The sequence below is a fragment of the Homo sapiens genome, chromosome 6 (assembly GCF_000001405.40).
Source record: "Homo sapiens chromosome 6, GRCh38.p14 Primary Assembly".
Taxonomy (NCBI): Eukaryota; Metazoa; Chordata; class Mammalia; order Primates; family Hominidae; genus Homo; species Homo sapiens.
Window position 1 is genome coordinate 144,399,057 of NC_000006.12, and position 14,157 is coordinate 144,413,213.

A 14,157-nucleotide genomic window follows, 5' to 3' on the forward strand; every position below is an offset into this window, starting at 1 on the left:
GCTTTTTTAAGGTCCTCTGAGGATGTCGGATTTTGAAAGAAACTCAGGGAGGTTAAACATTTCTGTTTGAGAGCAGTCTGTATCCTGTTGGCTTTGTTTCTTTGTCTACATACATATTTATAATATTTTACAGATTATTATATAATATTTATTATTCCCATTTGACATTTTAATAAATATTGTTTGAATAAATGAATTAGTGTTTGGGTGTGATTGGGTGTGATGAAACAAGAGAGCATAATGGCATAACTAAGTGTGAGTGGCAGAATTATATTGGGAGTGATTCACATGTAGGGCCCACAAAAAGAAGAAATGAGAATATGATCTGAAATGCTTTTGTTACTTCCAAAATAATAATCTTTGCTAACGAGAGATTGGCTTTCTAGGGTGTGTTAAGTTTTGCATTTGTGAAAGAGGCCTTAATAAAATCAATCCAAGTTTAAAATCATCCAATAAGAGATTTCTTTCTTGGCTAAAGGTCTAGGTGCTACTTTCCTGAATAATAAGCTGCACTTTAGGGAACTCATGTTATGTTAGTGTCAGCCAACTGGACACTCTTAAATTGCTTCAAATGGTGTACTAGAGGATAATGCTTTCTCTCTAATAACAGTAGAGTTTTAGAGGTGATTTGTGTGCTTTCATAGGGGAAACAACTCCTAATTTCTCTGCCACATTTCCAGTTTAGGATTTAAATTGATATATGTTGCTACGTTCTGCTAAAACAATTTTCCATACCCATTTGAGCTGGTGAAGTGAAAACATTTTGAAACCAGTTTCCTTGAAGATTTATCAAGCAGTTTTGTTGATGTGTCTTGCTATACTTCTTTTACCTATCACAGAAATAAAATCCCAGGCTAGGCAGCAGTGAAGGCCTTTGGATCTGTGTGAGCATGTCAAAAGCATTTTAAGAAGAGCAAAATATTTAGAGGAAGAATTTGGGAAAGCAGCCTTAAGGGATTTAACACATTTTTCTTCTTCTAATTCAGTCTCGTGTTCATCCCTCTAATGGAGAAAGGTCATTAATGGATAAGATTTGCTAAGCCAGCAAAGGCTTTTAGAAACAAAATGGTTTTCAAAAATCCAAGCCTAAGGAAAACAGGGTTTGAATTTGGGAGCTTGAAAGAATACATTTAGAGAAGGTGTATATGCAGTGTAAATTATATTCATTCACTTAATATTATACATATATATTTATAATCAAGTTATAGTATGTTTGTTGCATTCTTACACATTTTTGTTTTGGAGAAGTTAAAATAACGAATTGGCTTGATAATGAAGATTGAAATAATTTCAGACTGTGGAAGTTCTGTATAAATTTCTAGGCAGACAAAATGGCTGATCAGAATAGCATGACGGAGTTTTAGTTGTCCTGTTACTCGTCTGCTATTTTTACGTGCCCGAGATCTGGGCCAAGATTGTTTACCTTAATTGTTGTGATGTGGAGGTTAGTAAGTGTGTGAAATTTGTTACATTTCAATCTCATAATTGAAAAGCCACAGGCAAATTCTTGTTCTTTTACTGAATTCCTGTCTAGTAGAAAATAAGAAGTATGTGTGTTTGTATGTGTGTGTGTGTCTGAAAAAAGGAAAATGCAAACTAGTCTTTGAAATATGTACTCCCTTTTCCCCATTTTTAACTGTATCAAGAGAATGAATGCGGAAGTGTGTTTATAAACTTTGAAGTATTTTTGAAACATTTGGATGTTAGAAAATGTATCGTTTACAGGCAAATAATTTGTCTGTTACTTAGACTTATATTCTGACATTGACTTGACCCATAAAATAAAGACTATTGTTGAAATATTATCTTACTCATTTTTACAAACATAAGAATGGGAATCCATAAATTTTATTTCATTTCATATGTGATAAAATGGAAAGATTATTATCATTGATAGGGTAATAGTGCTCATTTCTTTGCCCACTTTATATCTGGGGAGAAACCTACATAGTATTAGATATTTTAATATGTTTTTGAAATAAGAAAGTTAAATGCTCCGGAAACAGGTTAAGAAAATGTAAAATGTAGTAAGATTTCTCTCTTAGAATTTTTTCCATTTTTATGGCCCCAAATTCTTAAGTTGTGTGAATGTTATCAAATTAAGATAATTTAATACTTATTTATGACCTTTCTATATTTTTTTATTCATGGGATTAAATGAAACTGCATATAACAAGATTTATGAAAATAAATCCTTTTTAAGGTAGTGGGACAAATAATTGGATTTTCCAAATGCCCTAAACACTGATTTTTAATATTAAATTCATTTTGGTGAGGCTGGTATATCCCCCCTTCAGGTTGATGTGTGGTGGTAGCCTTATATTCTGAGTATAATCTCTACTGTGTCCCTCTTTGATATGAAGATGGTAAAGGGTCATTCACTGTGTAAGCAAGTTCTCTTGGTTAATAAATGGCTTATGTGGCCTTGATCAGATAATATAAAGCTTGAAATAGGGATCGTTGCTGTCTTTGCTGTCCTTTCTTGAAGGAAGGTCACCTCTGAGCACCATTAATATCAAGGAGTTTCTTAAACAGCAGTTTTGTTTTCTATACCACTTGCTCCCTTAGTGTCTTGGAGTTGGTCTCCAATTACCTTTATGGATTTGTAAAAGTGCATTTTTTTTTTTCTGAAGCTGCTGCTATATTTATTCTGGGAATGACCTTTTAATTACAAACTCTCCTTCCACAAGGGGGTAAGGACCGAAGACCACAAACTGGGTGAAGTGGTAGGCGAACCTCTAATGATCCTAGCAGAGGTTCGTGAGCAGGTCTGTATTTAATGTGGAACTGACACTGGAGGGCCAAGCACACCTGGGCTTCCTCCATTATTATTTTGCTGCTCTGATGTGGGAGGCAGCCCAGCAGTATAAAAGGTGGCAAAGGAGGCAGGACACACATATGGATGGAGCCACACCTTTCTGCACTGTCGCAGATACGCCTTGGACAGCTTTCTGAACAACTGATAGAGATTGTGAAAATGCTGTTTTGTAGGATTTAAGCCAACAATGACTCTTTTACTGGCTTTAATAGAAAATCGTGGAGTGATGGAAGAGTATGATTTGAAGAGGTCCAATGAATATTTATTTATCTACCTTGCTTACACTTTTACTGTAATCATTATAACAACGAGCTGAACACCAGCTCTTCGTCAAGTGCTTTTCATTTATATTCACTAACCTTTACAATACTCTTGCAAGCTAGGTATTATTTATCCCCATTTTACAGATGAGAACTGTGAGGAAAAGCGATGTTATAATGACCCAAGGTCACACAATAAATGGATTGGGACACCGTCTATTTGGTTCTAAAGAGAAAGTCCTTTTCTCTTTTTGTTAGCCACATGGACTCCTTGTATGTAACCAAATCCTTCTACCCATATTTCAAAAGTTCAGGGTGGTCAGTCTTTTAAAGTAACTTTTCTTTTTTTTATGGCTCAGAAAATGAATTTGTAATCAAAACCAAAACGGATAATGGTTTTAAATTCTTCTGATTTTTCTACCTGTAAAAGTTCGTATAGATCAAGATCATTAAAACCTCATGCCAATCTTACTACAGGAAAATGGGTTACAAGATTGACCATAAACCTTATACTGTCATTCTAGAGGGTGTAGGACCAGTATGAAGAGGGAGGAAGTCACGAATTCCTGAGTTTTTATTGGATAACTTTAATTTTTGTTTTTAGCATGCTGACATTTTGATTATGCTGAAATTTTACTTGCACAAAATGTAGCAGAAAGTGCTACGGGTACTAGCTGGAAAGTAGGGCTCTGATTTGATCCGATAAACCTGGATTTGGTCACTGATGGCAGGACTCCGGGGTTTAGGGTGAGACAACCTGGTCCCTTGGGAAAGGTGCCCGAGCCTCCCTCTGTTGTAGGCAGTGTTGGGCTCCATAAGTGTACCGGGCAGTCATCACATTCTGCATTAGCTCCGCCTCATTGTGCTCAAGGAGCTCGACTAATAGGACTATTTTAAACTCTCCAGGATAGAGATAACCTTATTTGGTGCTTTACTAAAGGTACAGACTCTCATACTTTTTCCTTCTCTTTCTTTTTCCATTCCACAGATGAACACAATGACGTACAGAAGAAAACCTTTACCAAATGGATAAATGCTCGATTTTCAAAGGTAACTGAGACTTTCAAAAACTTCGATGGTTCAGATGCCGCATTCTGATTGAAGGAGTTTGGTTGGAAGTGCAGTGAATTTTCCCCAGGAAATGTCACCTAGCCGAAGTCTTCTGAGTATGCAGATACATTTGTTGTTCCTTTATTCTGTCCTAAAATATGTTTAAACGGAAATTCTCATGCACATAGTTTATGGGACGCTATTGACTTTTACCTGGCCTTCTCCAGATATCTAAGGCAGCAGTTAGCTGCTTTCGATTCTGTGAATCCTGGGTACATCTTGGAAAAGAATATATCATTGGGAAAATTTTTGAGTTCTCTTGGTTAAGAGGATGATGATTTCATTTTGCCTGGTTAAAACCAAATGTTATAATTCAGGCAGTCTTTCTACCCTGTCAGAAATATTTATGGATTTTTATTCTTGTGGATGTGGCTAATAATATTTATCTGCCTTGTGGGTTGTTTTTTCTTGTGTACTTCCTTAATTCCTCCCCCACCCCAAAGATCTACTCTTAGCATTTCTAACCATTTAGAACATAATCAATGCTTTGAGCAATATTTTTTCATAGGGGCAGAGCATGCTGAAGAGAGGAATTGTCAGTGCTATTTTCAAATCTGTTCTAATATGATTATCTATTAGTTATTGGTGTTGGAATTTTGTGCACTAAGCCTGAGGTAGGAGGAGAGTTTTCAGGATAACAGATTGTTTAGGACTCTTCTACAACAAGATGAAAAATAGAAGTTTCTCAGAGAAACACTGTTGTGGTCTTTTAAATAGTATAAAAGCTATTTTAATGAAGAGTTGCTTTTCAAAATTTTTGGTTGCTTTTCAAAAGTTGTAAAGGTCAGAGAGACAAACATTGGTATTTCTTGAGGAAAAATGAGGATATCTTAAGGTTACTTTGAGTAGCAGCATAGTTTAAAAAATGCTCCACGTCCCAATATTTATAGTTGGTTATTTGATTTCACTGCTTTTTGGGCTTTGCGAGTTTATCTTGAGGGGTATTTTATCTTGCCTGTGAGTATGTAAGGAACATGAAAACCAACTTTGACAGAGGGTTAAAAATACAGAGAATTAGAACATAAAGGTGCTTGCATAATTGGCAGTTATATGTGTAGGATTATTCCAAATCACATGCAGGTGTGTTTTGGTAAATTTTAGTTTGTTTTATTCCAGAGACACAGGTAACATATGTGCATCTCGGGCTTGACATGAATAAAAACTTTTGAACTATTCATCTGCATGTGACCATTTTCCAGAGAATGTAGTTTTAGCAACTGGGAGTCTGGATATGAGGTGTTTTATTCCAGTGGTCTTATGATTGCTCATAAAAGTAAGATTATTTTTCCTGGTTATTCACGAGGATAACACAGTAATTGTTTAGATAGAACAAGTGAAGCAGTTTTTAGCAGCTTAATTTAGTCTTTGGGGAAGAATTGCCTTAGAACTAATTTTGAAGATTGTTTTGAAAGCATTAAACTTGGTAGACCTAAGTTTAGAGAGCATTTGAAACTGGGTAAATTACTTTTTACCTATTTATGAAAATGGAGAGAAATAGGTAGTAAAATAGGACATGGAAAGGGTTTGTAGAGGAAGAGAGATGACAACTGAGACAGAATAATTGAAAAGAAATTTCTCAATATTTATGGTGGGTCATTGACACCTTTAAAAAGACCTCAAAGAAAACAAAATCTGGTAGTACCAGACTAGTTTATTAAATGAACTTGATATTTAAATTTGTGCATTTATAATGTCTATTATTTTGCAATTAAATGGGGCTTTAAGTCCCATGTAAATTGTTTGCCCTGGAATATTTGTATTTCTTACCAAGATACTGGAAAAGACTTGGTAATTTTTATCATTTTTAGTAAAAGTTATAGTTAGTTTTAGCTAAAAGCTTCTCTATTAGTGTTTGGAGATGGTAGTTTCTAAGCTCAGCTTCTGTGTTAGTGTTTGGAGATGGTGTTTGGAGAAAAACTACCAAACGTGGGATGACTCTGAAAACTTTTATTTTCATCTAGCAAGAAATCAAAACCTAGAAGGAATTTATCTGAGAAATTATGAATATTTGGAGATGGGAAGCTCATGGCAGTGACACTAAACATCCACATTATTTTTTCTTTCTTCTGGCTGTCTTAAGACCATAAGTTGGATTGCTTCCAATTGGGGATAGTGAAAGAGGGAGTAACACATTTCTAGACTGGGAGATTTCCATAGACTCCCATGTGGCTTAACTCTTGCTGAGCTGGGGAAAGACCGTATTCATGCCTGGTATTACTAGGTAATGCGAGGATAGAACAAGAAAAAAAAATAAATCCCGTTGAAGGGAACGAATTTTTTTTTTCATTTTTAAAAATCCATGTCCTTTGGTACATTGTGGTGGGTTTTACAATATAATTTTTCAGTGGGTCCACTACTTCCCTACAGTGTGGGTTCCTAAACAGAGCAACAGGACCTCTGTGCTGAGAAATCCAAACAGACACTGATGGCACCTTCTGCCATTTAGGAATTTGTTTTAAAACAGACATTTGTCTAGATATTTCCTTTGTGGCCTCCTCCCCATCAAAAGTCAATCAAACATCGAGCCTTGTTAATTCCAATACCTACATATATTCAAAATTGTCCACTTACTCTATGTAGAGTGACACGTCTCTTTTCCAAGGCATTGTTATTTGTATTAGAAAAAATGGTGAGAGACTTTACAATGGGCAAAAAACTAGTGGGTGTCCTGTTAGCTCAGGCATCTGAATTATCTCTGCCTTTAATTACTTTTGAGCTACTTTACGACTAGGTAAGTTGTGGAAAATAGGTATGCAAATGATTCTTATCCATAAAAATGAAAATTATTTGTAAAGCAGTTAATTATTACTCCTTGGATAGACCAGTTTTTGCATCTATTGCAAATCTATTTCAGTTTTCATTTTTCTTGTGTAAAACATGTGTTTTTAAAAATTTTCCCCTGAACTGGTTGTAACAGCTTACTGGGTCCCTCATTAATTAATGAGTTAAATAAATCTTTGACAGACATTATTATCACATTGGTTTGAGAGTTATGACTTTACCTTGTTGGAAAATTATCCTTGAATACATGGACCACTGTGATAATCTGCTAATTGGTTCTTCCATTCCATGCTCCACCTTCTCCATCTCCCTTTCCTTTTTTTTTCTTTTCTTTTTTTTTTTTTTTTTTTTTGAGACACAGTCTAGCTCTGTTGCCCAGTCTGGAGTGCAGTGGTGCAATCTTGGCTCATTGCAGCCTGCAGCCTCTGCCTCCCAGGTTGCAGCGATTCTCCTGCCTCAGCCTCCCTAGTAGCTGGGATTATGGGCGCATGTCACCATGCCCAGCTAATTTTTGTATTTTTAGTAGAGATGGGGTTTCACCATGTTGGCTAGGCTGGTTTCAAACTCCTGACCTCAAGTGATCCGCCTGCCTCGACCTCCCAAAGTGCTGGGATTACAGGCGTGAGCCACCACGCCCGGCCTCCCCTTCCATTTTCAAGAGAGTATCTACGGTGCTTCTAAAGGGTAAACCTGAATACCTTTTTCTCTTCTGTAAGCTCTTTCGTTGGGTGCCCATTTTCCTTTTTTTAAAAAACACAATTAAAAATTGAAATTGTATAATTTTTGGTATATAGTGTGATGTTTTGGTCTTACTTGGTTCTTAAAGCTCTAAATAGCTGCCTCCCAATTTACTCCTAATTTTATTTTACTTTCCTCTCGCTCCCTCATTTTGCTCCAGCCACACGGCCTTTGCTTACCATCCCGGTGGGCCCTCCCTGGCCTTTGCACACAGTCCTTTCTCTATCTCTTCCTGGCCAGCTCCTACCCCTTCCTGCTTGTCTGAGCTTAAATGTTGCTTCCTGAAGGATCTCTTTTCTGAGCTCCCAGACTAGGGTAGATAAGCTGTATACTCTCAAAGTGTTATGATTTGAAGCACTTACCATACTGTAATTTAAATAGTTGCCAGCCTTTTTTCCTAGGTTAGACATAAACTCTGTGGGTGCAGGGACTTTCTATTTGCTTATTGGCATATCTTTTGGCATTTAGTAGGTATCCAGTAAACTATTTGTAGGCTTAATAAATAAATGAATGACAATGACATAGACATACATTGAATATGCCTAATTCTATATGTTCATAAGCCACTTGGGGATGGTTGCATTGGAGAGACAGGAGTAGAGTTTAGGACTGAGTGCAACATGGCATGAATTGTGCTAAGTCCTGGATATGAATACAATGCATCAGGACTTTTGCTGCATTATTGACAAAAATAAACAAATCCAGCTATCCAAACTTTCCCTATTTACCTGATTTCTTGGAGTTGTGCTGCAGTGATTGTTAAATAACCACTTGGACTTAATGCATATTATTGTTTTATTTACCCAATACAATTCTTCACATAGGGTCTAACTATTAAATTCACTGTGAAGAAAAATAAGACTTAAAACTTAAAGCCAGAACAATTCTTTTCTTGATAAGGGATTTGGTAAAGAACTTGAGAATAATATCAGTCTAAAACCATCTTTTAATTTGTAACTGTAAATGAATATACAGTAACCAAGACAGTGCTCACTCAAAATATGTATTCTTTTTGCTGCAAATCCTTGTGAACATATCATGGAGTATACAGTGCTTTGGAATTCAGGATCCTGAGAAGTCATAGTGTAGAGTAAATTATGGCTCTTGGATTTTTAAAAGTTATGAAGAGCTCAGAAAAAGTGATTATCTAAAAAAAGCTAAAAATTAGGAAATTAAACACTTATTTCTGGATATCCTGCTCATTTATTTATGACCTCAGGCAAATTATTAGTCAATTTTTTCAGATCACCTGGTCTACATTTCCATAGCCATAAGACGCAATCGATCATTATTACCTTCCTTATATCGTGAAGAAATATTGAGGCATTGCTGAGAAGTGTATAGGAGATGATAATTACTTAGGAATGCAAAATAAAAACCCTATCATATACCTCGAATCTGTGATAGTCCTGATCTGTGGATCCGTGCCACACGTAAACAGAAAAGGGAAAAAGCACTGGCTCATTAAGCCCGCGTTCTTCCATTGTATGGTGTGTATGACTTGAGTGTTTTGCCCCTTCTAAATTTCAGAGCCTCTGGCTTGTTAGCCGGCCGGTCTCCCAAGGGAGGCAGCAAAGGCCTCATTGCTTTGCTTTGGGAAATTTGCTCTGACTTTGAGCCTGCATTTTCTTTGGCTGACTTTCAGAGCTGCTCATCTGGCAGAGCTGAAAACATACAAATTGCAGAAGTTCTTTTATCCATTTGGTGAGATGGTTCTCTAAAGAGGCTTCACAAATAAAGGTTAGGTAGAAAATATGCAAAATTAAAAATGCTGAACTTGAGTTTGTGCAAATCCCTGCTTTTCTCTTTTCTAAGACACAGATGAGCCAAGTTTTCATGTAAGTTACAATTCCAACCTTGAAATTCAAATTGACAGAACGTAAGAGAGGAAAGCCATGAAGCATTTTTTATGGATTCCAATATGGAGAGCTATTAAGATGTTTTCCTTTAGGAGACAGTGAGACATTGCTTTTAGATTGTTTTCCTACTTTTTTCATGTTGGAAGTTAATAATCACTAAAATAAGGGTGGGAAAAGATGTGGAGGGAGATTTGTACAGGAGGTGCAATAAAAGGAGCCCAAACCCTTTTCCACCTCTAGATATTCAGTCTTCTCTTTAGTACTGTAAAGAGGCTGACAGGCTTCCTGTGTGAAGATAAATCCCATCTATAGTAGAGGCTTGAGCTTGAAGAGTTACACATTGGGTCTGCCATTGGTTTATTTCATGAGTATGCATATGGCAACTCAACTGATTGTTTTAGGAGCCATACACATTCAAGTGGTTCCTTAAAAAGAAATGTGAATTTGTGTCTATTCACTAATACCTCTAAAAAGAAAACAATAAAATGTACTCCATATTCTTAAACACCAGCTTCCAGATACTTTGGCTATACTTATGCAAGCTTTGTTGTTGTTGCTGTTTGTTTTGTTTTCATTCAATTTGAATTTTTAAAATTTGATTTTTGTCTCAAAATTGTTTGTAAAATGAACTTCACCTTGGTTAAAACTAAAAACAAATGATTAAAATTAAAACTGTCAAGTATTATTTAATATGCTATGCTTTGATGAGTACTTAATACAGGGTTTTGATTCAGCCTATTGGTATTCATAATTGTGAAGCAAATTTGGTAGTCTTTGTAATTGACGATCAGTTTAGAAATTGATCAACTGGGAGGAAATGACTTTTCACCCTTCACTTAGGAAGGAGTGAGCAGGACCACCTTCCTTGTGCTTTCCCATTCAGCCTCTTGTGGCCCCACCATCTCTAGCTTCAGAGATGGGCTCTGGTGGTGCAGGGAAGGGTGGGCTTATGCCAGGGTGGGAAGTAAGGTATCAAGAGGGGATTGCTGAGAGGTAGTGGTTGAGGGGAGAGAATCTCTACCTATTACACAGAGCAAGGAGACACTGGACCCATTTCCAGCTGTATCTGGCCTGGGAAGCTTTTAGCTGCAATTGCCACAGGTAACCATCCACCAGCCATGAGGGGAGTCACACTTAGGGGGAAGCTGACATTTATTTTTGTTATTATTTGTTGGAGAAATAAAAAACCCTGCCAACACTGGTACCTCTGGTTACCAACATAGAATACAGAGAAAACACAATTTACAATTAAGTGTGCATGTATGGTTAAGTGCATGCAGGCAGTTGGCTAAAGACGTCAAAGTCTGGACAGAATTTCACACAAATATTCAGTAAAGTGGGAGAAAGAACAATGAACACTTGTCTCTGTGAGAGACAACTAGATGTGCCTTGTTGTGATAGTCTCTTGTCCACCTTCTCAACAACTCCTGTGTTTAACTTAGCTTGAAAAACTGGAGACTGGATTTATCTATTTCCTGACCAAAAAAATTGGGTCTATTTTGTTTTAAGGAGACACCCTAAGGGAAGGGAAGGAGCAGTGTACCTGCCTCTCCTTTATATATATTGAACAAAGGAACTTTGATTTTATTTACCTTTACACTATCATAATCAGTGCTATTACCAGTGCCTCACCCTAGTCTCATGGAAGCCTATCTTTTGAAGGACTGCCTTCTTCAAACATTTCTACTGTATTGCCAGTTGTGTATACATGGAATAAGCTATATTGTTTCCTGAGTTTGCCTACAGACCTTGCCTGGTATGCATAAAGAGTCAGAGCTTTTTATTTATTTATTTATGTTGTTTTATTTCCATAGGTTTTGGGGGGAACAGGTGGTGTTTGGTTACATGAGTAAGTTCTTTAACGGTGATTTGGTGAGGTTTTGATGCACCCATCACCCGAGCAGTATACACTGTACCCGATTTGTAAAATTTTATCCCTCACCCCCACTCCCACCTGCACCCCCCGCCCAGGTCCCCAAAGTCCATTGTATCATTCTTATACCTTTGGATCCTCACAGCTTAGCTCCCACTTATGAGTCAGAACATATGATGTTTGGTTGCCCATTCCTGAGTTACTTCACTTAGAATAATGGTCTCCAGTTTCATCCAGGTTGCTGCAGATACCATTATTTCATTCCTTTTTGATGGCTGAATAGTATTCCATGGTGTGTATATGTGTGTGTGTGTGTGTGTGTGTGTATATACACACCACAATTTCTTTATTCACTCATTGATCGATGGGCATTTGGGCTGGTTCCATATTTTTGTAATTGCAAATTGTGCTGCTATAAACATGCATGTGCAAGCATCTTTTTGGTATAATGGCTCCTTTTCCAAATGCCTACCTCTGATGGGCATTTGGGCTGGTTCCATGTTTTTGCAATTGTGAATTGTGCTGCTATAAACATGAGTGTGCAAGCATCTTTTTTGTATAATGACTTCTTTTCCTCTGGGTTGATACCCAGTAATGGGATTGCTGGATCAAATGGTAGTTCTACTTTTAGTTCTTTAAGGAATCTCCACACTGTATTCCATAGTGGTTGTACTAGTTTACATTTCCAGCAGCGTTCCCTTTTCACTGCATCCTCGCCAACATCTATTGGTTTTTGATTTTTTGATTACAGCCATTCATGCAGGAGTGAAGTGGTATGGCATTGTGGTTTTGATTTGCATTTCCCTGATCATTAGTTATGTTGAGCATTTTTTCATATTCTTGTTGCCCATTTGTATATCTGCTTTTGAGAATTGTCCATTCATGTCCTTAGCCCATTTTCTTTTTTACTTGCTAATTTGGAGTCAGAGCTTATTCAGCCTCCAGCCCTCACCTGATTGTCCGTGGAGTATGCTAGTGGCCCCTGCCTCTGGCCGCCAGGTATCTGAGCCCCACAGTGGTTTCTTATCATCCCAGATTTTATCATCACTATACCGGTAACTTACCAAAATCGAGGTAAACATTCTGTTACATGTCTGTATGACTTGTGATTCCCTGAAAGATATTACTTGGTTTGGCATGTGTTTTACAGTATTTTATAGTTCTGAAGGTAGGTGCACATTTACTGATTCGGAGTGTTCTCTGCACATTTACAGTAAACACTGTAAATCATTGCTCTGTAGTTAATGAGGCATACTCTGTGATGACCAGCACCATCTGTTTCTCTTGTCTTTCTCTCTTCCTCTTCTTCTCTCCCTCCCTCCTTCCAAGCAAGCTTCTAAATGGAATCTTTTTCAATTCTTAGCAACTTATGCTGACCACCCAGAATTCTTAAAGAGGACGGCTGAGAGATCTGCAGTCACTAATTGTTTAAGTGACTGGAGCACATTTTGCTGGTTTTCTGTTGTCGAGGTGTGGAAGGAACTCATTAGGCATTATTGCAGTGCCCTCATTTTACTTTCAGTCTTCTCTGTGGAAAGCAATGCTGTGTTTGTTCTTTTACCACAGAGTTGAATCATAAAAGTAAATACTACATATCATACAGTCTTCATTTCGTTGATTCAACTACACATTTTATAATTGAGATGAACCTAATTTTATCATTTTGCTTAATCTTGACTAGAGACAGCATTCTTTTTAAAACATCTATTATTTGTTTTATGCAGTAATACATAAACTTTGTAAAAATTAGATAAATCAATAAATCCAAAGAAAATTGTTCAAACTACTTTTAATTCCACTACCAAGAGAAAAAGTGTAGCATTTTGTTGTATAATGGTTTAAAAATGTATTATCATATAAATATATTATCATTAACTAAGATGATGTACATAGTGCTTACTGATGCATTATTGATTATTAAGAAATTGAAAAATTACAAGAATGTAAAAGATGCTACATTTGTGTCAGTGTTGAAATTGGGGTTCATGAGTTAAAGATTCTAATTTGAAAAGGTTTAGAAATGTTGCATTAAATTATTTCTTTTTGAATTTTTAAATTAACCAACTTCTTGCAAAAAACAGATGAGGAGGGAGAGAGAGAGACCATAAAATTTACAATGTTATCAGATGCTTGGGCATCATTTTGAACTATCAGGGGCATCAGATTAATCTCAAATTAATCTGAGGAGAGTGTGAATATATTATGGTATATACACTATATATGTTTGTGTGTGTGTGTGTGTATATATATATATATACACACACCATACACACACACACACACACACACACACACAGTAAACAATGGGACTGGTAATTGAATTAACTAGAGTGTCTCAAATCCTGTTTTGAAAATAGGGTGTAAATAAATAATAGAATAATCAGTGTCGAAGGGCTCAAATTTGTTATTCGTTTGTAAGATGACACTCATCAGACATGTTACTTTTGAAAGCATTTAAAATCTGTTATCTTCCAACTGTTTTTATTATATGCAGTTATAACTTGATTGCTGATAATGGGTTTAGGTAAGTCATAGGACAGATTCTGTCTCCCTGCTGTATCTGTTTCTTTGTACAATTTTGGCAGCACCAAGCTAGATTTGCAAATTCACCTTAACGTGTTTGCCATATTATGTTAGTACTGTTTTTTGTTTAAATCTACAGTCATGTGTCACATAAGGATGTTTTACTCATTGATGGACCACATATATGATCGTGGT

At 36.6% G+C, this 14,157-nt stretch overlaps 1 protein-coding gene and 1 non-coding gene across 2 annotated transcripts in view, besides 1 other annotated feature; both read left to right on the top strand.

Annotated features, from left to right (window-relative positions):
• UTRN (utrophin) overlaps positions 1-14,157 on the top strand; it is a 567,700-nt gene that overhangs the window by 113,722 nt on the left and 439,821 nt on the right. The window contains exon 3 of the mRNA NM_007124.3: positions 4,067-4,128. Within this exon, the coding sequence (NP_009055.2) occupies positions 4,067-4,128 (62 nt within the window). The remainder of the gene's footprint in view (positions 1-4,066; positions 4,129-14,157) is intronic.
• SNORA98 (small nucleolar RNA, H/ACA box 98) lies at positions 6,599-6,711 on the top strand. Its single transcript, NR_132778.1, has one exon. It is a non-coding gene; the product is annotated as a small nucleolar RNA, H/ACA box 98 (small nucleolar RNA).
• Positions 12,389-12,558: an enhancer, noted in NCBI's record as "experimental_90719 CRE fragment used in MPRA reporter constructs". NCBI's record gives its function as "activates a minimal promoter by MPRAs in K562 erythroleukemia cells, with activity observed for the introgressed 6:144732666 variant allele {active_cell/tissue: K562}" and the evidence as "EXISTENCE:reporter gene assay evidence [ECO:0000049][PMID:34662402]".